The following is a 24,263-nucleotide window of genomic DNA, read 5'->3' on the forward strand; positions in this document are numbered from 1 at the left end:
GCAAACGTGGAAAAATGTTAAAATTTGAGGAGTCTGGGGATCCTCTGCACTCATTGCAATTTTTCAGTAAGTCTAAAATTAAAGAAGTAATAATTTTGAAACTTGATTTTTAAAGAAAAAAACACTAACAGCTTCTTGAAAACTTCATAACTATCTGCACTAGGTAATTTAAAATGTCCTTTCACAGTTCTATAATTATTATATTATATATTATATAATGATTAAATATTATATGTTATATCATTATATTATATATTATATATATCATTATATTATATATTATATATCATTATATCATATATTATATAATAATATTAATAATATAATATTAAATAATTTAATATTAAAATAATATTAAATAATAATATAAATATCATTATATTATATTATTATATAATATATAATTCAAATTATTCAAATATAATATATTGTAATATTTCTTTGATCACGTGAGTCTAGATTCTTCCATAGAACAACTTATCAACTGTGGTGTTTGTCAAATAGGGCTTAGGTATATTTGGAGAAATAATATAAAATACGAATTATATGAGATGTCATTTGTCATTGTTTCCACTGGATTTCATTAGCACAGAAGACTCACAGAGCAGCTATAAAACATCTCAGTTTTGCAATATCATGTGAGGAATGTTGAAGGCTGCTTGAGAGCTTTATTTGCTTGTTTACAAATTTAAGGCAGATACAACACATTTTTAAATACTGTGATTCATCAATTAAAGTGCATGCTAGAAAAAAGGTATAATTTGTTTGGGGGATGATAGCTGGTAGTCTTCAAATAACCAATACGAAAACAGCCTGACAGTAACTATGAATAGAAATAATGTGAATGGTCAAGGTAATGTTAATGAAGTATTAAACCAAAAGATGTTTTCTGAAAAGTCAAAAATTAAATTCTAGTAAACATAAAAAAACAGTGGAAGATTTTTAAAGAACTAATTTTGCTTGCTTTCTTTTCTTTCTTTTTCTTTTTTTTGAAACAGGGTCACACTCTGTTACTCAGACTGGAGTGAGGTAGTGGGATCATAGCTAACTGCAGCCTTGAACTCTTGAACTCAAGCAATCCTTCTGCCTCAGCCTCCTGAGTAGCTGGGACTACAGACATGCACCACTATGCCCAGCTAAGTTTTAAATTGTATGTAGAGATGGGATCTCACTATGTCACCAAAGCTGCTCTTGAACTCTTGCCTTAAGAAATTCTCCTGCCTCAGCCTCCCAAAGTGCTGTGATTATTGGCGTGAGCCACAATGCCTGGCCTAATTTAACTTTTAATTAAAAAAAAAGTCAAGAGTACTGACAAGTTCAATTCCTACCACTTACGTGAAGGACCTCTATCAAGATAATGTCTCAGCTGTTGGGTTTTGGAGATTGGCTTCCAATTCCATTATCCTACCCCTCATTTCCTTTCTTTTAAATAATGAGGTTTAAAAAATGCCATGAAGGTTAGTATATATTTTTTCAGAATAGCAAATTAGAAAAAGAAATAAAATTATATTGTTTGATAGGAGACTTTAATTAGAAACACATAAGCACAGTTTTTATATTTGATACTGATATGGTTTGTGTGTGTCCCCACCAAAATCTCATCTTGAATTGTAGCTCCCATAATTCCCATGTGTTGTGAGAGGGACCCAGTGGGAGATAATTGAATCATGGGGGTGGTTTCCCCCATACTGTTCCGGTGACGGTGACTAAGTCTCACAAGAGCTGATGTATTTATAAGGGATTTCCCCTTTTGCTTGGTTCTCATTTTCTCTTGCCTGCCACCATATGAGTTGTGCCTTTTGCCTTCCACCATGATTGTGAGGCCTCCCCAGCCACGTGGAACTGTGAGTTCATTAAACCTCTTTTTCTTTATAAATTACCAAGTCTCGGGTATTTCTTTATCAGCAGCATGTAAACAGACTAATACACATAGCTTTTGAAAAACTACTGAAGATGTCTTCAGGGGGCTTCTGAGCCAGACTTCCTGGATAGCGGTTCCTGTTCCGCATGCCTATCATATTTCTAGCTGCTCCAAACTGCTCTTCACTAAGACTTCTTATATTAACCGTGAAATGAGTGCGGTTTCCCACTGAAGAAATGACTATAACTCATCATTTGATGCTTGAGAACAAACAGGGGTACTGAAATATGCACACAACCCTCTCAATATTTTCCAAGTCTGAGATTGTTCCTCAATAAAAATATTATGTGGACATCTTGAATTCAGGAAACTTTGCTACCTCTAACATACTGAGATCAAAGAAACCACACATCTAAACACTAGAAGTTCATTACAGTGAATACCAAACCAATCACAACTGGATATGAAAACGTTGGCTACTAATTTAGGTCAGGATGAAATAAGTTAAAGAAGCAAGAATAACCTGGAGCTGGGTCCCCCCAGAGTTATGAACTGGTTACAAAGCAATAATAACTGAATTACTACAGGTTCCTCAGATTCTCTTGTGATTATATGTAAAGACATTTAAGTTTGGGATGATTTTATAAAACTATTCTTAAAATTAAACTTTAATGAGAACATTATTTTAAAATATAATCTATTTTCCCTCTTTAAATTATACTTTCATTTGCATGCTGGTGTGGAGAACTGGTTTTGAAAAGGAATTAAGTCCTTATTCCTTGACGATTTTGGTCACTGCTTCTGTGTAGCTATTTTGCTCATGAATTCCTTGTCCTAGTCCATCACCTCTGTGGTTTACTTCTATTTCTTCTGTAGGTAATAATTTCCCTCAGGAATGTGCAACTCTGGACATCAAAGTTTCTTCTACCCATCCTAGAAATATGTGCCAAGCCAGAAAGACAGGGGATTTGGAAATTAAGAAAAGCAACTACAGGACACTTTTGAGAGATTAGGGTTAGTTTTTCATAGGGACCCTGAAATTTCCTTTAGGTTTAGAGTCCTGGATACTTTTTAAAAATGTTTTAAGTTTTAAATTGACAAATAAAATTGAATATACTTATTGTGTACAACAAGCTATTTTGAAATATACAGTGTATACATTCTGGAATGGCTAAATTGAACTAATGAACATATGCATTAACTCACGTAGTTATCATTTTTTTTTTGGCTGAGAACACTTAAAATCCATTCTTTTGGCATTTTTCAAGAATACAACATATTGCTACTAGTTATCGTCACCATGTTCTACCATAGACCTCTTAAACTTATCCCTTCAATCTAAATTAAATTTTGTATCCTTTGACTAACATCTTCTCAACCTTCCCTGAATCCATTATCTCAGCCCCTGGTAACCACCATTCTACTCTCTACTTTTATGAGTTCAACTTTTTTAATTCAATTTTTCATTTTTGTGGAAGTTTCAGTTATTACAAACTATTGGGAGCAAATGAATCTTCCAATATGCCTCTTACTTTTGTATAGGTTTTTCCCATTTTAGAAGGATTAGGGAGAATCATAAAGGTGGGATAAACCAGCTGAACCACACTGATACCATCTGACACTATAAAGGGACTACAGATTTAAAGTTAGCATTCTCATTGTAGGTCTGAAATCCAGACCCCCAACATATACTCTTTGCCTTTCACTAGACAATTTTTAGTACCTCAACTTTAGTGAGTTCTCCTGAGAGACTTTTTATTAGGAGCTGTTCAAATCACAACTTTGACCAAAGCGTGTCTGCTGATAGCTTTTCCTCTCCATTTTACAATTTATGGCTGTGTAACTAGAGATCTGTATCTGCAAATGCCTGAATTTTCCAACTCATCTCAGAACTGAATTTGCAAAGAAGATATCACTTAAATTTTTGCCACTTAATTCTTTGTGTTTTCCCCAAGGAATCCTAGCCAGCAACTAATTTTCTGGACAAGGGATCAAAAGTACGAAAAGCAGCAGAATCATAAACTTTTGCCTAAACAAAGGGATTGACTTAAATCTATTGAATGGACTGTATTTCTGTGCAGTGTGAAATGTTTAACATCCTCTGTCTGCCAGTTCTGGTTCTTTAGTTCTGCTCATTATATATAAAAAGCCTTGCTATCCCATATTCAGCTTCCTTTTTTGTTTCTTTTAACAGAAATGCTGGCATGCAACTTACCTCCAGGAATAGCTCAGAGCTGATGCTCTCAATTTAGTCATGCGAATTACATTACATTTTTCTCCTCTTTGGAAACACTCTCCCCCAATCTCTGTAATCATGACCCCATTAGAGCTAGGTGATTTCAATCAAAATGAAACATATAGTTTTCTCTAACATATAGGAAGGAACATATTCTACAATAATATCTAATCACATTCCAAGCTGAAAGAATTATATTGTTTTTCTGGAAGAATATCTTTTCCCTTGGAAAAGAAAGTTTTGTATGTAAGGCTCAGCGTCAATATATTAAAATGTATGACTGTTTATTTTTTTAGGTTGAAAAGTTTTTTTCAAGGTTTTCAAATAATGACTGTAACATATAAGAATGATGGAACATTTGTAGACACTTTTCATATTAGAAAATACCTACTAGCAGGTGATATAAAATATACTGAAAAGAATACAAGAGAGTTGTTGAATGGCTTTCTACTTCTCATCATACAATTCTATTTCTGAATCTTTTTCGCAGTCATTTTTGTAAATATAAACATTTTTTCTATTAGATAACTTACCTGTTAAAATGAGCAAAATGGGGATACAAACATTAGCTCTGAATGCTATTTTGTTAACTGTCCATATAAACCCGCTATGTATTTTCAAAGGAATATTTTCTCAACTTGGTATTTAATGAATTATGAAACTTTTGGTCCTAAACATGGGTACATGTGCCCGCTTCCCTGCTTTATCAGACAACATCCCAAGAATTCTGTGTACTTACAGAAGCACAGTTTTCAGACTTGTCTTCTACAAAACCAATTTGGCAGGGCATCCTCTGATTCTGCAACCAGTAGTCTGTTGACTCCAGCAGGCTATTGCTGCGAAGAACCTGGAGGAACCCAGAAAAACTCAGTTCTTATTCGGCAATCCTTTCTATCTAAACAGCAGCTCTCTCTCTTTTTTTTTTTTCTTATAAAAAAACCTGTAGGTGTTTTCTTTTCCTCAGAGCTTCTGGGTGTTAGAAAAAAACTTGCAGGATGATAGCACCTCTAAAATGTATAAAATATCCAACCTAGAATTAGCTTGAGAGAAATACATTAATGTTAACACAGATGTTCTCTCATCAAATCCAACACCTGGAAATGTCAATTGTGTAGCTTTTGCATAATTTGCAATCAAATGATTGTTTTGGGGGTATGGCTATGTGGGCAATGGGGATCAAATTTCATTTAGTGCTAGTGTTCTTTCACACTCCATAAGTATTTTCAATTAACAAAATATGGGGTTTTTCATTGATGGAATATTGATTCTTCACTTCTTTGGTTCTGCTAACTTAGCTTTGAACTAGTGTACAATTTTTCTAGAACACCTAAGGTACTATGTTAAGTTTAAAAGTTGTTAGAAATAACTTATAAACAAATTACATTAAATACCATTTGCCATTTAGAAATAGCACGGTATGGCAAAAATAATTGGAATACATGAATTAACAAAACCAAATATGACTGACAAATATCTGATTTCTGGTCTTGGATTCTTAAAGCAAGGAAGAACAAGCATATTTTGGAGCTGAGATATTTTGAAGATGAAATATTATCAATAACTGCTAATGTCTTTAAATTATCCAAATATTGGCTGGGCGTGGTGGGTTACACCTGTAATCCCAGCACTTTGGGAGGCCGAGGTGGGTGGATCACCTGAGGTCAGGAGTTTGAGACCAGCCTGGCTAACATGGTGGGACCTCGTTTCTACTAAACATACAAAAAGTTGGCCAGGCGTGGTGGTGCGCCCCTGTAATCCCAGCTACTGAGACAGGAGAATCACTTGAACCCGGGAAGTGGAGGTTGCAGTGAGCTGAGATCACACCATTGCACTCCAGCTTGGGCAACAAGAGTGAAAATGTCTCAAAAAAAAAAAAAAAAAAAAAAGCCTAATATTGTATCACATTTTCTTCATCTTTTAAAAGATTCCCAGTGCTTTTCTGGTACCCTCTATTTTATTAGGGTACGTGTCTGCTAATACTTGACTACTACTTTCACTGAAGCAACATAACAGATTTAATCAGTTTGGTTAATGCCACTAAAATAGGATAGTACTTCAATTACATTTCATTCGTACAACAAAAGATTGTCTTCTCTTTTTCTGTAAAGACAGAAATACATTACTTTTAGTCTCTGAATACAGTTAACTAAATCTAATTGTGACACATTTTAGATGAGTAATATTACTCATCTAAAAATAATGAAAATTTATTAATGATAAATGTTATCATTTATAATAATATAAAATATAATCGCATATCAAAATATCATTTATTATATTAGTGATAAATTTTCATTAATAAATTTTCATCATTCTTTCTCAGAACAGTACAAAGAGACCCTTTGTGGATGAGCAAGTAATTGAATGATAAACTTGGATTATTACTGCAGACTGACGTTGGCTAGGGAACCTCTCAGTTCTCTTAAATATTTTACCTAAACTGGTTCTTAAAGCATGGGCTAGGACCTATCAGGGTCCCTGAAATCTTTCAGAGAGTGCAGCAATCAGACTACTTTGATAATAATACTAAGATGTTATTTGTTCTTTTTGCTCTTGTTGTCTCATGTATATTCTGTGGAGTTTTCCAGAGGCTACATGATGTGTGACAGCACAACAGACTGAATGCAGAGGCAGCTAGGACAGCTCAGCTGTCTTGTATCAAGTCAGACATTAAGGAGATTTGCAAACATGTGAATTGAAATCACTCTTCTCGCTAAAGGGTTTTGTTTTGTTTTGGAAAACAAATATTTTTCTTAAAAATATGTTATATAGGATAATGTGTTTATTATTATTTTAAAATTATTTTGTCAAATAACAAATTCTTATTTATTTAATTTAAATTCTGTTTTATTTGAAAATAAAATAAAAAATTTTCTTAGCTTTAATTTGTAATATGGAAATTAGCAATAAGTATAATCTCTCTAAACGAGAGTTTCTTGAGGTCCCTAATATTTTTCTTAGAGTGCAAAAGAATTTTGAGTTAAAAAACATTGAAAACCATTGACCTAGATGAACTTTATTTAAAGCAGAAAAAGGCTCTAAATCCACTTCACTTTATGCCATTCACATGCCTTTCCCTTGTATTTCAGGCATAGAATAGAGTTTAAGAGCATCAACATTACTGGTCTAACTGAGTTGAAATCCTAACTTGGTCATTAGTAGCAGGATGACCTCAAACAGATGACTTAAACCCTGAGGTTCAGTTTCCACAGCTGTGAATGCAGGTACTACTCATCTGGTGGGATCACTGAGGGTATTCAGTGAGATGATATATGTGAAACACTGTGCCATGGAAACGGTAAGCTATTCTCTCAGAACTTGGGTTTTACTGTTACTATTTGAAGGTGGCTGAAAAGGATAATAGAACATTGGATGCCTTCTGTCTGAAATGACAGGACTGAAAATATTTCAGATGTGTGATGGCAAATTTTCTTTAGCAAATATTCTGGTCTAAGGTGTAATTTTAGTTATGCATTTTGTAGTATTAATAGTTACAGCTACTATTTTTGCATGCTTAGAATATGTTGAAGTTGTGCTAAAATTTTCCTATATGTATATTTTTACTTTTTCATTTAATCTTTTTTGCAATGCCCTATGGTAGGAATTATTATAAAGATACAAATCTTTACAGAAATTTTCAGGTTGAAAATGAAGACCTTGAGTCTCAGAGAGATATGAATTTCTGCCCCAAATTGTTCAGAGCCTGACTTTGGATGTGAAATTACAGAAGAGGGCTGTCTTATATACCCATACAAATGGGTATGATTTGGGGTAGGTTTCCAAAAACTTATCTGCATCTATTTTTTTTTGTAAATAAAACTACATTTTCTTATGGACTTCCATTTTAAAGTTAGTTTTCCATTAATGAAATTCTGAGGTGACAATTTTCTTGAAAGAGAGGAAACTTTTTGTGATGTAAATTATATAATGTAATTAATCTACTTGGCAAGTATTATCAGTATTTTAATTTCTCAAAGGAAAGGATGCTTTTACACCTACTTGAGTTATCTTTAAGCCAACTGATGTTATCATGCTTCTGCTCCTTGCCTTTCTGTGATCCCTAGATTTTGGAACACCCATCAATAAAACAAAGCACTCATTAACTCTGTGTCATAAGAACATTAAAGATTTAAAATACAGGTATCATCGCTTCTTGGCCTTTTGGCTAAGATCAAGTGTAAAATACAGGCATCAAATGAATATACTAGTTAATAATGTCTTACAATGCAGTTTAACAAACATTCTGACTAAGAATCACTTCTTAGTCATTCTAGAGCTCACTACTCAAAATTATATCCTGCACCTTGTCTACATTCTAAGATATTTAGGACACATAATACCATGGTTACAACAAAATATTTCAACAGAGAAAAGCAACTGTCACTTATCGGTATCAGCCTTAGGAAGGTGACAGAGTTCGAAACGCAATTCACTTGGTGCTTTCAGAAAATTGGTGTGCTGGGTGGGTACATTTTCGTGGTGAAACACAGACAGGCAGAGGGGGACTTGCCAAAAGTCATCAGTCTGAAACCTCCCACTGCGAAGATTCCAGAGCTATGAAAGGGGCTGTCTGCAGACCAGGCTAGTTGGGAGAAGAGCTGGCTACCTGTGGGATTTCACCTGCACTTAACTTCTCTAACAGAGAAATGTGCACAGACAGATTAATCTGCCGAGTCCTCAGCAGATATTTTAAAGATTTTTTTTGAACCTATTTTAAAAATAAATAACTAAAAATATACAAAGATCTTGCTCTGTCCTATCCTAGAAGTGAGGAAAATGTGAAGTGCTTTAGAGACCTGCTCATTCAATGAAAAATTCTAGAAAGATTTCTCATTTGACTCTTCCATTTCCCTGGGATACTGTGCATCTTTCCTAAAGCACATCTTTGCTTTAGAAGAAACGGAAGCAGCAGAATAAGGAACTGGAATTTAAAATAAAACCTAAATCTTGCCGTGCTTAAGAAGAAATGTTTGGACGAGAGCTTCTTTGTTTGGTGAGAATATTCATTTGCCACATACATGCAACTTTAAAATTTTAATTTTATCATCGTTAAAAATTAGTTAATCTGATTATATCAGTAATTAAAATAAGATATATTTTTCCATAAATTTCATTAACATTTAGATGATTCATTATTAAATATTTATATTCTTTAATTATTGACCAAATAGTAGTACATTTATTGAGAACTGTCTGGGCTAACATCCTAACCTACACTATTATCTGAATTAAATTTCTAGGCTTGTGAGGTAAATTCTCAAGGCTAACATAGATAAGGTTCTTAAAACAGTGCCTGGTGCATCCTAAGTGCCCGATAGGCATTAGCTATCATCATAGTTACTATTTCCTTTGCCCAGGCTTAGAGGGATCAATACTTTATCTAGTTTTTGCAGAACGAGAATTTCAGTCAGGCTCCCAGACATTAGAGCCTCCACTAAGGCAGTGTTCCATTGAAATTATATAGCTTCTCATTTTCAGCTTCTACCAAATCCCAGTCTATGCATTTAGCCATCTCTCTCTCTCTCTCTCTCTCTCTCTCTCTCTCTCTCTCTCTCTCTGAGCTCAGGTGTGTTCAGGAGGTTTGAATTCCAGTCCTGACTCCTTGTTAACTGTGTAGTTAAGTCCACTAGCTCCCAGCCTCCCTTTGCCTTTGGTAAACAATTAAAGCAAATGATCTGAAGGCCACTTCTATACCAAATACCATGTAAGTCTCCTCCTCCCTTCCTCTTTTGCTCCTCCTCCCTCTCCCTTTCTCAAATAGTATGCATTGAGAGCCAAATAAGTAAAAGAGAATAAAAATGCAGACTTCAGTAAACCACTTAGCATCATATATAAAGCAATTTTAGCCTGTGAAAAGCTTTTAGTTTCATGGCTTGGACAAATCATTAGGAAAAGAAGAATGCTTGAAGGAAGAATATGTGCTTGAGAATTCAACAATTTTGAAGCTTTATGAATATATTCTCCCTGCTGAGAGAGTTGCTTTCTGAGAAGGAAAAGAGAAAAACTCACCAGGCTCTCAATGGCTCATTTGTCTGCTATTTTTAGTTATGGACTTATTTTAGATGAAGAGCTAATAATGAATGTTTTGTGTGTTCACAAATTTGAAATAATAATGGCACATTTTCTTTTCAAATTTCATGAGTTCAGCAAATAAGGTTAGGAAGATCCTTTTGCTCTACATTACAGTTACGTTTCTTTTTATATAGAGAACCAAGTTGAAGAAATTTAGTATTGATTAGACAGAGAGGGAGAAATAGACTTTGGACACAGCCCCAAACATGACTGAGCAATGTCTTAATATTTTTTAAGTAATTTAAATTGGAGAAGACAGTGACTGGTGATTAATCTTGGAGGTTTGGAGGCAGAACTGAAATTAAATCCCATTTCATCCTACTGAATGAGCTTGGGCAAGTCATTTAACTTCTGTGGGACTTAGTTTTTACGTCTATTACATGAAGATAATTAAAGACATTTCAGAAGTTTATTCTAAGGATCAAATGAGAACATGCTTGTAAAGGGCTAGCCTCAACAGAGTATGCAATTGATACGTGGTTGCTATTAGTATCAGAAATGCAGGAAAATTTAGACAATATCTGTTTCATCGAACATTTTCTTGGCCTCTTCACAACATTTGACAATTCCTCTTCTTTTATTTATAATTTGTGATGTGCCATTCTCATTTTTCTTCTCCTACTTCTCTACTCTCCTTCAGTCAATATCAGTCAACCAATGCTCATTGAGCTTTTTTGATGTCAGCACTGAGAATATTAAGAGCGATAACTCTTCTAGAGAAAGAACAAGCACTCTGACTGTGATAAAGGAAATCTGGTGCTTTGATCCAAGACAATCCAGGTCAGCTATCACCAAGGATGGACTGGTCAGTTCTCCCTGGAGGAGGGGATGGCAAAGGGCTTGGCCCTTGACTAGAGCGTTGAAAGGTGGATTTGTGTTGTCTGGATGTATCAGGGCAGGTGGAGAAGACATGTCTCTCTTTTCCTACCCAGGTGCCATAAATATAAGTATTCCTTATAGTTTGCTCATCAGTGTGTTGGTGTTTCTACTCCCATCAATCATTTTCCTTATCTCCTTATCGTTTGCAGAGTCTCAGGGAATTAATTACCACCTGGAGGGATGACTTGCTGATCTGTAGCTCCAGGTTTAACCTTTCTGTAGAGCTTGGCTTTTCGCACTCCTGTTAGTTATTACTTTTGGATTTCTTGCTGTCACCTTGGACTATTCATGTCTACACACAAACTCCCTCCTTCCCCACTTCCAGTGCCTGAAAGAAACCTGACTTCCTGACTTCCCTATTTGCAGTTGATATCAGGACAATTCTCCCAGTTACCCTGGCTTGAAAATTTGGTGCTATCTGGAACATCTCTTTATCTATTTCCTGTCTTACAGTCTGCTCTCCAAAGTTTAATTTGGAGAGCAAATTACTTAACAATTAGCAATTATTTAAGTTCTTTCAATTACTTAAAAAATAGCAATTTTTTAGTGCATACCATGGATTACTCTCCAGGTAATACAACAGTGAGTAATATGTAACCAGTCTCCATATTTATGGAACTTAATATCTGGCATGGGGGCCAAACAGAAAATAAGGGAGCATTGAAGTACACACTTAATTACACACTGTGGTGGGTATCATGAAGAAATAAACATAGTGCAGTGATAGGGAATAAAAGGGATGGGGATTGTTATGGTCTGAATGTGTCTTCCTCTCTCCCCACCCACCCCACCAACTCATAGGTTAAAATCGAATCCCCAATGTGTTAGCATTAAGAGGTAAGGCCTTTGGGAGGTGATTAGGTTAAAAGGGCTCTGCCCTCATGCATGGAATTAGTGCCCTTATAAAAAAAGGCTTGAAAGCTTTTTGCCCTTCTCCCATGTGAGGATATGGCAAAAAGGCACCATCTATGGAGAATGAGCCTTCATCAGACACTGAATCTGCTGTCACCTTGATCTTGAACTTTCCAGCCTCTAGAACTGTGAGCAATAAATTCCTGTTGTTTGCAGATTACACAGTTTAACGTATTTTGTGATAGCAGCTCTGACAAACTAAAACAGAGATGATACTTGAGAAAGGAAGTTAGGGAAAGCTGGACACACACAAAGGTCCTATGTGTTCGTATTGTAATTCTCTCATCTCTCTGTCTTCCTTATCTCTGAAATCCATCTAGCTCACTAAAACCAAAACAAAGAATAAAAATGTAAGCTTTGAAGACAAATCTGATTTCAAATTCCAATTCTTCCATTATTTAACTGTTCAACGCAAGGCAAGTCACTTAACTTCTTTGAGACTCAGTTTTCCCGAAAATGAGAGTGGTATTTCTACTCACAGTGAGGAATCTTTTGCAGACATTAGAAATAATGAATGCACATAGTATCTGATTATTTCAAGTGCTCACAAAGAGCAGCTATTGTTATTACTAATATTATTACTAATGTTATATAATTCTCTCATAAGACTTTAACTTCAATTGACTAACTGATCCAATAAATATGACTGAGGACCTTCTAATCCTGTCAGAAACTAAGCTAGGTTTTGCAAAACAAGACAGAGGGACAATATTTGCTGTGGGTGAGCCCAAAGTTTTATGGGCTTTTTGCCAAACAATAGGCTAGCATTCAAGACAGAACAGATTCTAATTCAGCTCTCTCTTGCTAATCTTTTGATAAACAGTGACTAAACTCCAATGTTTAAGATACTGCATTTTGCCCAATTTAGACATTTCCTAGGCTTTGTCTCAGATTATCTCCCTCCATAAATGCTCTGCTATAATCCACAGGTTTAATAAACAGCTCTACCATATAGCCTTTATGATGCACACATTTTTTTCATATCATTCCACCTGCTCCCTGAAGTTTTCATCAATGTTCTTCCCCAACCCTCAAGATATAACTGAAACTGAGCCTGTCCCAATATAAATATTTCTCTGTTCTTGTAAAGTCTTTGTAATACAAACAAAATTTCTTCCTCAGAATATTGGAAGGTGCATGCTTCCCACTATCTATGAGTATTATGTAAGTATATACGTATTCAATTTGTGTCCCACACTTTTCTCCCTACATGCCATTGGTACAGAGCAGCTGCTTGCTGTTAGACATCAAAATCTCTTATCAACATATCTTGAATACATTTATTAGACTCTATACTTGATGATAACTTTGGACGGTGTGATGTTAACTTTCGAATGAGACACAAATTATTAATGAATGTGTGCTGGAGATGTGGAGAGAAAAAGCTAGAGGAGCAGTAAAATAAAGGGAGCCAGAGAAGCCCATTGGAAGAGGCATGGGCATCACTCAGAGGAGACTCTCCAGGCTCCTGTTGTAGTTCTAGGCTCTTTCTAGGGCACTCAGTTACATTTTCTTACACAAGAAGACTGCGATGTGAGTGGCTCATTGGACTTGAATAGTGAATGGTGAAAATGGAGAAGAGATGATTGGAATGAAGGCAAGTACTAAGACACTTTGACCTATTTGCTTGGCAAGATAATGACATCTTTACTCCAGGTAACATTTTCTTGATAGAGATACCACATTCCTACAGAATTCACTTTTTATGTGTAAAGTTCTATGAGTTTTGAAAAATGCACATGATTGTGTAACCAGCAGCCGAATCAAGATATAGAACAGTTTCATCACCTTCCTCAAATCCATCCTTCTCCTTTTAGTTAAAGGTATCCTAAGTCCCAGCCCCTGGCAACAACTGATCTGATTTCTTTCCTTTCCTTTTTTTTTTTTTTTCTGTAGAAGGTGAATAAAGAAAATTGCAAAATTTTATTGGTTCATTGAAAAGAGGACCTGAATAAGTGAAAAATAGTGACAAATTAAGGGAAAAAATTGTGACATACTAAGAGATAAAAAGACAATATTTTAGCTTTATTCTAATTTATTGATCTGATTTGTATCCCTACACAATATTATAGCTTTATTCTAATTTATTGATTTGATTTTTATCCCTAAAATATTGCCTTTTCTAAAATGTTATGCAGATGGAGTCCTATAATACGTAGCCTTTTATGACCTGTTTCTTTCTCTTAGCATAATGAGTTTGAGATTCGTCTATATTATCATATGCATGAGTAGTCACTTGTTTTCTTTTATTGCTGAGTAGCATTCCATTCTGTGGAGATACACAGTTTTTTTTTTTTTTTTTTTTTTTAAGCCATTCACTAGCTGAAGGAAATTTGGGTTGTTTCAGTTTGGGGCAAATATAAATAAAGCTGCTATAAACATTTGCCTACAGGTTTATGTCTAAATTTAAGGTTTTGCTTTTCTTGGGTAAGTACCCAAGAATGAAATTACTAAGTCATATGGTAAATTTATAAGAAACTGAAAAAATGTCCTTTAAAGTGGGTTTACCATTTTCCATTTCCACCAGCGAGGTATGAGAGTCCAACTTGTCCCTATCCTTGTCAGTACTCAGTATTGTCAATTTTTGCTTTTACATTTATTTTAGTAATTCTAACAGGTGATAGTGGTATTTCTTTGCGGTTTGTTTTACTTTCCATTTTAAGATATCTTTTTTCTTTTCAAGATACTTTTAAAATAAAAAATTAAGCATGGATTCCATATTGGCTCATATCATATTCAAAAGTATTAGTTAGACTCTATATTTAATGTTAGCTTTGGAATGCTATTATAAAACAAGGATAATGCCATCCATATTAAGTTTTCATTCGTTCTTTCATTCGACTACTTGTTAAGCACCTGCTGTCTGTACTAGGCACTGTTTATTTAACTGGAGCATTGGTGCACAAAACAAGAATAACAACAACAAAAAAACCATTTTCCTTTTCATTCTGTTGTAGGAGGACACGTCATAATCACATAAATTATAAATAAGCATATATGTCAGATAATGAAACTACTATGAAAATAAATAACTATTATGAAAATAACTAAAGGGATAAGGAAATAAGGGGTGCTATTTTGTAAAGTATATCTTGGCAGGCCTTTCTAAGGATGACATTGAGCAGAGATCTGAATGAAGTGAGAAGCCAGCCACACTCCCATCGGAGGGCAGAGCAGCCTCCCAGGCAGAGATTACTGAGGAAGGCAAACGTTCATAGCAGGAGTGTGCCTGGTGTGTTTGAAGGACAGTAAATGGCTGGTGCAGAATGAGTGGTGGAGGAAGTGATGGGAAATGAAGGTTCCCAGTAGTGGGAAAAGAATCTTTTATCCTTCATTGAAAAGACATTCATTGCTGAGCTGGGCCAGATATTCTTTAATGTCTTGAAGCATTCTAAGAGTCTACAAAACATTTTTAGTATAATTTTGCAAAGTTTAGTCACTGGCTTAATTAATGCTTAATTGCTGACTTAAATATTTTATAATAGTTTAAAAGCCTAGTATACACACACACACACACTCTCTCTCTCTCTCTCTCTCTCTCATGCTGGACTAGAAGTCAGGAGGTTTCATGTAATTTTATACATTTAACTTCATGCTGATTTAGCTTACGCCATAGCAAACTTTCTGAGAATTCTATAGTCTTTTGTTTTCTACTCTGGGATATAAATACTTTTCCATTATTTCACAGGGAAACTGTGAAATGCCTATTTAAAGCACACTGAACTACTAAGAAGAAACAATAAAAGAAAATGGAAATAAAATTATTGTGTGAAAGAAAAAATTTGGCATCAGAAACTGAGTGAGTTAGTCTCCATTTCTCAGAAGGTTTAATTAAATGTTAGGATAACATTTTTCTCTTAATGATGATTTTATTGGATGACTGCCTGAGTCCTTGTGTATTATCCTCCTTTGACAAAAAGGAGAAATTGCTTCCAAAGTATGAATATTATTTTATTATTCATATGACATATTCTGTAATTCTATTTGGTTGGATGTAAAGCATTCATGCATTATACCATTGACACCTAAGAAAATTTAGAAATTTTGTAACTGATTATTTTAAAAGTGTTGTAAAATAATGGAGTTCTTTTAGCTCTTGGAACAAAATGATTCTCCGTTATCAAGAAGAATTTACCAGATCAAAGGTGTGATTAGTTAGAAGGGTTGGGAAGGAAATGGTTATTAGTGAGCCTACCATTCATTCTCTCCTTTTACTGTGAAGGGGGGTAGGAGGGAAGACTACCAGAGAAGAGAAAAGGTAAACGTGTCATCTTATGATAAACATACAAATGAGTGACCTTCAGATAAACTAATTGTGTTTTTCTAGTAGGAGAGTCCTTATCTATGAAATGCTTTTTGCAATATATACCTGGTCTAAGTTTGCTTCTGGTAAATAAATATGGATTACACTGTTTTATGGAGCATTTATCTCTGACAAATATCACATAAGGATATAATTTGAGCACAAAATGGAGATGCTTTATGAACAAAAGCCCTCCTTTCTTCGGAATTTATGTCCCCATATATGTAATTTAGAGACTTTGTATGTTACCCTGGGCCAGAACGCATCCTAAGATGGCAAGAAATGACCTGCATAGCTTCCACACAGTCTCAGATATCTCCCTATTTTTCTTGTGCCACTCAATTACTCATATTCTGGAAGCTACACTGTATCTTAATGTTGTCAAAAGAATAAGAGTACAGAGGACTAGTTAGAGCTTGGGAACTGATGAGGACTGGAAAAGAAGTATCAAGCCACACTACTTCTGTCATATCACACAGATGTCAGCTGGCTGAAGAAGGCTTTGAAAGTTGATCAGAGCTTTATCCATACGAATGCAGTAACTGCGTTTGAGTCTCAAGTATAAAATGCAAGAGTTACAAAAACAGATACACTCAGGAAATGCAAATATAGTATAATTTATGAATGATCAGCAATGGTTTAAGCAGAATCAAGTTAGACACATAAATAGAGGACAGCTGATTAATTGTTATTTAGAGTCAGCATAATGCTATAATATTTATACTATCAGTGAAGGGAATGTGATTTTAACGCTAAGTGAAGGAAAATATAAGAAGAAACACACATGTAGGAAAATATATGAAGTGCGTGAAAGCCTTCCATTGACTTTGGATTATTTTGTGTTGGTATGCAAAGTACAGGTAGTGAAGAATTTGCCACTAGACAAAGGGACAATGAATTTAATGGCCACGTATCTCTTGAGTATTGGTGCATGCCTTTGGACTGTGGCAATTAAAATACAAGTGATATGGCTGGCTGCAGTGACTCCGGCCTGTAATCTCAGCACTTTGAGAGGCCGAGGCAGGAGGATGACTTGAGGCCAGGAGTTCAAGAACAATCTGAGCAATATTGTGAAACCCTGTCTCTACAAAATAATAAAAACAAAAAATTAGCCAGGCATGGTGCCTTGCACCTATAGTCCAAGCTACTCAGGAGGCTGAGGTGGGAGGATCACTTGAGCCCAGGAGTTCGAGGCCACAGTGAGCCATGATCACGCTACTGCATTCCAGGCTGGGTGACAGAGCAAGACAAAATAAAATAATAAAATAAAATAAAAAAGAGACAGTTCTCTTTTCTCTGACTCTTCTCTTCTTGGGAAAAAGCTACAGGAAACAACTGCCTTTTAAGATGCATGCAGATGGGCACATAATCTGTGAAGGGATATATCTGTTTCTTGGATGCTTTCCATCCTGGAGAGTATGAGCCCTGATATGAGTCTTTCAGAGTGAGTTCCCTTCTCAAAAGGCAGAGATGTGCCTAGTGAATGTTAGCATGCAAAGGAGAGGGCTCATTGTAAGGGATCATGAGCCAGAAGGTCCCTTGTAGAGACATGTTCCAATTTATCTGAGCCATGTTATTCCTTCCCACTTTGACACTGGCAGGACTGAAAACTGGCACTTTAATCAGAAGGGTGAGTCTGGCAGGATATGAGAAAGATGGATGCTATGAGGACAGGTGGGGAATGCAGTGTCTACTCCAGGCTACTATGCTGGGAACTTTTCTTAGAGGAGGGACTGAAAGAAAACAGAGGAGACCTTGAGGCCAGTGATAGGGAGCAGGGTTGGCTAGTCTTTTTTTTTAAGTACCGAAAGATAAAAAGGAGAATTTTTAATGCCAGATTAGATATATTCAATGTAAACTTGTTGTGTTTCTGGACAGATATATTTAATACACAATATATAAAAGGCCTGGGGGAATGACCACAGGAATTCAGAAAAACAGATCACTTGCCTAGTTCCAGCAGTGCAGCATCAGCCTCAACTCCACAAAATGTTCTAAGCTATTTGAAGTTTTCAGAGTCCCCCCTTTTGATTTTTTTTTAAAAAGAAAAAAGTAACAGCCTGCAGGTTCCTTCCAGGGGCTCTTCACACACAGTGAAAATGATGCTCAAGGAACTGAGCTATAGAGAACAGAACAAGGTTGGCATGTTGGACTGTCACCACTGTACAGAAAAAATTGCTGGAGGCAACGAGAAGTGAGTGGAGTTCAGAGTCCAGAAGAGAAGTCCTCAAACAGACTGACTTCGGAATAAGAAGCTGAATTGTATTCAAACTGCAAAACAACCATAACTGGTGGCTTAAAATTTTCCCACCTAGGGTCACCACATTGACATCTTCTAGAGGATGAGCTGTCCATGCAACACAGGCAGTCCCACCTCTCTGTTTCTGCGTGGACCTGGTTGCCTTTAAGGCGAGAGAAGCCATTCTTGACCTGCTTTTGCTGAAGGAAGAGAAAATGAGCCCTTAATCAAAGGTTTTATTACTTGCATTCTGTCCTCAGTACAACCCTGATGTTGATGTGGCTCAGGGCATACAGAGGTTTTCTTAGATGGTGAATGAAATCGCCTCCAGAGGGAATGTGGTGGCTGGCTCTGTAGATGCAACTGGGCTGAATCTGAACTCATGGCTTCTCCTCTCTGTCTCCCAGTGCCCCCTTCCCAATGGTCTCAGATGTACCACCACTCATAAACATCTTAGCCTAAGTAGTCATTCTCCTGTTCAGCCCTTACGGCCAAAGAGTCCTCCTGATCTTGACTGCCAAAGGTATCTCACCCAGGTTTCTTTTTCTCTCCATCCACTACCCCTACACTGGTTCCACCTCCCCTCTCCTCTGCTATCCCTATCCCCATCCAGTATTCCCCTCCTGGGATCCCAGATTGCAAGCTGTCTTTGTTTTAAGGAATTCTCTTGAAAACGATCAGATTAGCTTTCCTTAAATGTCACTTTTAGTAGGATAATTCTCTATTTTTTTCTTAAAAATATCCCCATTTCTTCAATGCTTCTGATTACTCTTGCAGAATGGTGATAAAACAGAACATCCAGCTGTTTTGCAAAAACTGGCTAGGCCATTCTCTGGTATCAGAAATCAGCCTGAAGACCACTGACAGGCTGCTAGGTCAGAAGAGAGTGTTTGAGACTTGAGAGTTGTTTATACTCCAGGGGGAAATTCTTGTGTCTTCCTTCTATAGAGATGTGAATAAGCTCAATAATGCTGATCTTTCTTTAATTTTATTTATTTATACTTAAAGTCCTTGCTTCTTTGAGAGAAACAGCTTCTACAAATACAGAATATTATATCTATTTTCCATCATGTGAATATCTAGCTTTGAAACACAGTGAAAGTACTTCTTAGCTTCTCAGAATTATTGGTGGGGCTCTTGTCCAAGAGCAATGAAACTCTGACTAATAAAAATGTCTCTGTAGGTTGCCTGTTCACTCTGATGGTAGTTTGTTTCGCTGTGCAGAAGCTCTTTAGTTTAATTAGATCCCATTCGTCAATTTTGGCTTTTGTTGCCATTGCTTTTTGTGTTTTAGATATGAAGTCCTAATGGGAGAAAATTTTTGCAATCTACTTATCTGACAAAGGGCTAATATCCAGAATTTACAGAGAACTCAAACAAATTTACAAGAAAAAAATGAAACAACCCCATCAAAAAGTGGGCAAAGGATATGAACAAACACTTCTCAAAAGAAGATATTTATGCAGCCAAAAGACACATGAAAAAATGCTCATCATCACTGGCCATCAGAGAAATGCAAATCAAAACCACGATGAGATACCATCTTGCACCAGTTAGAATGGCAATCATTAAAAAGTCAGGAAACAACAGGTGCAGGAGAGGATGTGGAGAAATAGGAACACTTTTACACTGTTGATGGGACTGTCAACTAGTTCAACCATTGTGGAAGTCAGTGTGGCAGTTCCTCAGGGATCTAGAACTAGAAATACTATTTGACCCAGCCATCCCATTACTGGGTATATACCCAAAGGATTATAAATCATGCTGCTATAAGGACACATGCACACATATGTTTGTTGTAGCACTATTCACAATAGCAAAACTTGGAACCAACCCAAATGTCCAACAATGATAGACTGGATTAAGAAAATGTGGCACATGTACACCATGGAATACTATGCAGCCATAAAAAATGATGAGTTCATGTCCTTTGTAGGGACATGGATGAAGCTGGAAACCATCACTCTCAGCAAACTATCTCAAGGACAAAAAACCAAACACCACACGTTCTCACTCATAGGTGGGAATTGAACAACGAGAACACTTGGACACAGGAAGGGGAACATCACACACGAGGGCCTGTCGTGGGGTGGGGGGAGGGGGGAGAGATAGCATTAGGAGATATACCTAATGTAAATGACGAGTTAATGGGTGCAGCACACCAACATGGCACATGTATACATATGTAACAAACCCACACGTTGTGCACATGTACCCTAAAACTTAAAGTATAAAAAGAAAAAAGTCTCTAGAGATATGGATCACACTGTGAAAAAGCCTTCCGATTTGTATGCCTGTGCCTGAACACATTAATTAAATTGCTTTCATTAATTACATCTTATCAAAAAGATATGAGCTTAGATGAAAGTGTATTTTGCAGAATAAAATGAAACATCCGGGGACATCCATTCTGTCATTCTTCAGGTATATCTTTGCCACTGTTTACAGCAAATTTAAGTCTGTTTAAAGGGGGGAATCATGACCAAGAACGCTCTTGAAACTTCATAAAGCTGTTCAGATATCATATTAATATCAGACTCTGCCTCTGGGAACCTGAAGTGTTTTCAGTCTGCCACCTTTGGTAAGTCCAAGTTTAAGGTGCATTTAATTAACATGACATGAAAAGAGAGGGATATTCCAGGTGTTGATTTTTCTCCAACAAGTTTTTCCTCACATGAATCCTATGCAGAGACTCGGTTTCACTATATCCTAAATAGCAAACCTTCAGTCTAAGTGAAGCATAGATTGGAAATGCCCAGCTATTGTGGAAATATGACATTGAATATAATGCTTTCAGAGGAAAGGAAAATCTAACAGAAATTCAATATAATGGAGGCACATTGCATGCTACATTTACATCCATTTTTAAATTTCATTTAAATAAAGATTTCCCTTGTCTAAAAGATTATTTATTTAGAATGAACTAATATTCATTGAGCATCAATTATGTGCCAAGGGCATACACAAACCTTTTTGTATGTAAGTATCACACTAACCTTAGAGAATCTGAGTCAGACAGGTTACATCACCGGCCTAACCACATATAGTAAGAAGAGAAACCTGGGATCTAATTCAAGTCTCTCAATTCCAAGTCCAGATTTGATACACAATATCCCACCGCAGCCCTGGAGATAACAGTTTTTTTATTTATTATAAAGAGACTAGGAAGAATTTTCACCTAGTTTTAAACAAATATAAAAGAATGACACTTGTAATCATTTAGCTCATTTAGTGTAAAATCCCTTAGATTCAGTTTAGTAATGGTGGTTGTATTTTTCTTATAAAAAGGAGTGGTTGGGTTGGGCATGGTGGTTCATGCCTGTAATCCCAGCACTTTGGGAGGCCGAGGCGGGTGGACCATTTGAGGTCAGAAGTTCGAGAACAGCCTGGCCAACATGGTGAAACCACATCTCTACTAAAAATACAAAAAGAATTAGCTGGGTGTCATGGCGTCCACCTGTAATCCCAGCTACTTGGGAGGCTGAGGCAGGAGAAACGCTTGAACCCAAGAAGCAGAGGTTGCAGTGAGCTGAGATCACGCAACTGCACACCAGCCTGGGCAACAGAGTGATATGCCTCAACAACAACAACAAAAAGGAGTGGTTGTATGAGATGGGGGCATCAGACAATGCTTATGATAAATATAATTCAAGGGATTCTAGGGGGAGAACTTTAGGGCTCCCTACCCAGCAGCTCTTTTCCATTTTTTCTTATAATATTTTGTAATTCTATCATTTTAAATGCATTATTTTGGGAAATCATGTTGCATATGTTAAAACTGCCCCTGTGTCTCAGTGCACATTAATTAGGGTGACATAGAGGTTAGCTGACTTTCCAACCTGGATGGATTGAAAGTGTTTGTTTAGAGCTTTGTAATAAGTAGAATTCTGAGGTCATGTCCAGGTTCAATAGGCTCAATTATCAATGTCAGTTAAGGGAGGGGGTAATAGTAGTAGCAAACATAACTTAATTGTCACCACTCCATTAAGCAATCACTAAAACCTCAGTGTGAATTTATCTAACCTTCCTAGCTCTTAAAAAAGAGGGAGAGAAAAGATAATTCCGAAGCCAGAGATGGGATGACCATATAAGTTATTTTGTATACCAAAGCACTTTTGAGAGAAAATGGGGGTCTTTAACAAAATACCAGGACAATATATGACAATTGTCACTGTATGGTATGGTCATCCTAGCTCTGGGGAAAGGCCATCTCTCACTACCAAAAATATATATTGAAGAGTTCCTCCCTAAGCACACCAAAGTCTCTTTCCTGATGCTATGGCTTTTTCAGAGCTGCAGCTTCCAGGGACCATATTTCTCCAATACTGCAGAGGAAATTTGAGGAACACAAGCAATTGTGTCTGGGTAGGATTCCTGAAACCCTTAGAGATTCATTATGAAACATGTGAAAGAAATTCAGTCAATTTGCAATTTTTTTCAGAGGCTGATTATCCAACTAATGCATTGTCTTGACCCTTGTTTTATTTCTCTCACCAGTTAATTTAGCAATATGTCAGTTCTAATAAAAAGATTTGATGAGGAAAAAGATGACACGATTACATGAAATGAGTTTGGGGAATTGCCGACAGATTTCAATTATCCGTGTTACTCTCAGTGAAGGCTGATTGACTGTGAAGAGTGGTGGTTTATCAGGACAGCCTTGCTACTTCTCAGATGTAACTGTCCTTGTTCTTTTTGCCTTTTTTATACAGAACATACATTGCATGTGCATTTAACACACAGACCTTCACTTTCTCTGTTCTGTAATCTGTGATTAACAAGATTGTAAAGAATTAGCTTGCAATATTATTTAATAATAAAATAATTAATAAAGGCATAAAACCATTCAATGTTAAATGACTTTTTATTGGGTGCTTTTGTTCTGGATACAAAGAAGAAGAAAACATTGGTGAACTACTCTTTTGAAGAGAAGGTAAGCAATGGCAGCCCCACAGTGGCATACACAGTTACTAAATTGTCTTTTAAATGCAATTATTATGTAAGCTTGACAGAATATTTGAAATGAAATGAATGTGCTATAAATATTAAAAAATATATTACCAGGAAAGGTACTGACTTCTTCACTAATTTGCAGCAGCCCTTTCCAAGTTTGGGTGTATATTCTCTTTCTCAATTCAAATGTTGATCATCCTTCTGAGTACCTTCTGCTGAACTTGCCGATGTCTATTGCAGATCCAAGGATGATCTTGGCTTGTAGCTTTTAATGAAAACAATATCTGTTTTCTATGGATTTATATAGGCACATCTCAGAGATATTGTGGATTCAGTCGCAGACCCCCACAACAGAGCAAATATCACAATAAAGGGACTCACAAAATTTTTGGTTTCCCAATGCATATAAAAGTTATGTCTATATTGTAGTCTATTAAGTGTAAAATAGCATTATAACCAAAAAAGTATGTAGATTAATTAAAAATACATTGTAGCTAAAAAAAATGCTAGCAATCATCTGAGCCTTCAGCGAGTTGTAATCTTTTTGCTGGTGAAAGGTCTTGTCTCCAGGTTGATGGCTACTAATTGATCAAGGTGGTGGACGCTGAAGGTTACAGTAGCTGTTGCAATTTCTTAAAATAAGACAACAATGAACGTCGCCACATTGATGAACTCTATTTTCATGAAAGATTTCTCTGGATCATGCAATGCTATTCAATAGCATTTCACCCACAGGAGAACTTTCAAAATTGGAGTTAACCCTCTCAAAACTTGCTGCTGTGTTATCAATTAAGTTTACGTAATATTC

The 24,263-nt window shown here is 36.2% G+C and overlaps 1 protein-coding gene across 6 annotated transcripts in view; it reads right to left on the reverse strand.

Annotated features, from left to right (window-relative positions):
* SPHKAP (SPHK1 interactor, AKAP domain containing) overlaps positions 1–24,263 on the reverse strand; it is a 201,733-nt gene that overhangs the window by 124,041 nt on the left and 53,429 nt on the right. For all 6 annotated transcript variants that reach the window (NM_030623.4, NM_001142644.2, XM_006712778.5 and 3 more), the window contains one exon: positions 4,837–4,944. In NM_030623.4, the coding sequence (NP_085126.2) occupies positions 4,837–4,944 (108 nt within the window). The remainder of the gene's footprint in view (positions 1–4,836; positions 4,945–24,263) is intronic.

Source organism: Homo sapiens, chromosome 2 (assembly GCF_000001405.40).
Source record: "Homo sapiens chromosome 2, GRCh38.p14 Primary Assembly".
Classification (NCBI taxonomy): Eukaryota; Metazoa; Chordata; class Mammalia; order Primates; family Hominidae; genus Homo; species Homo sapiens.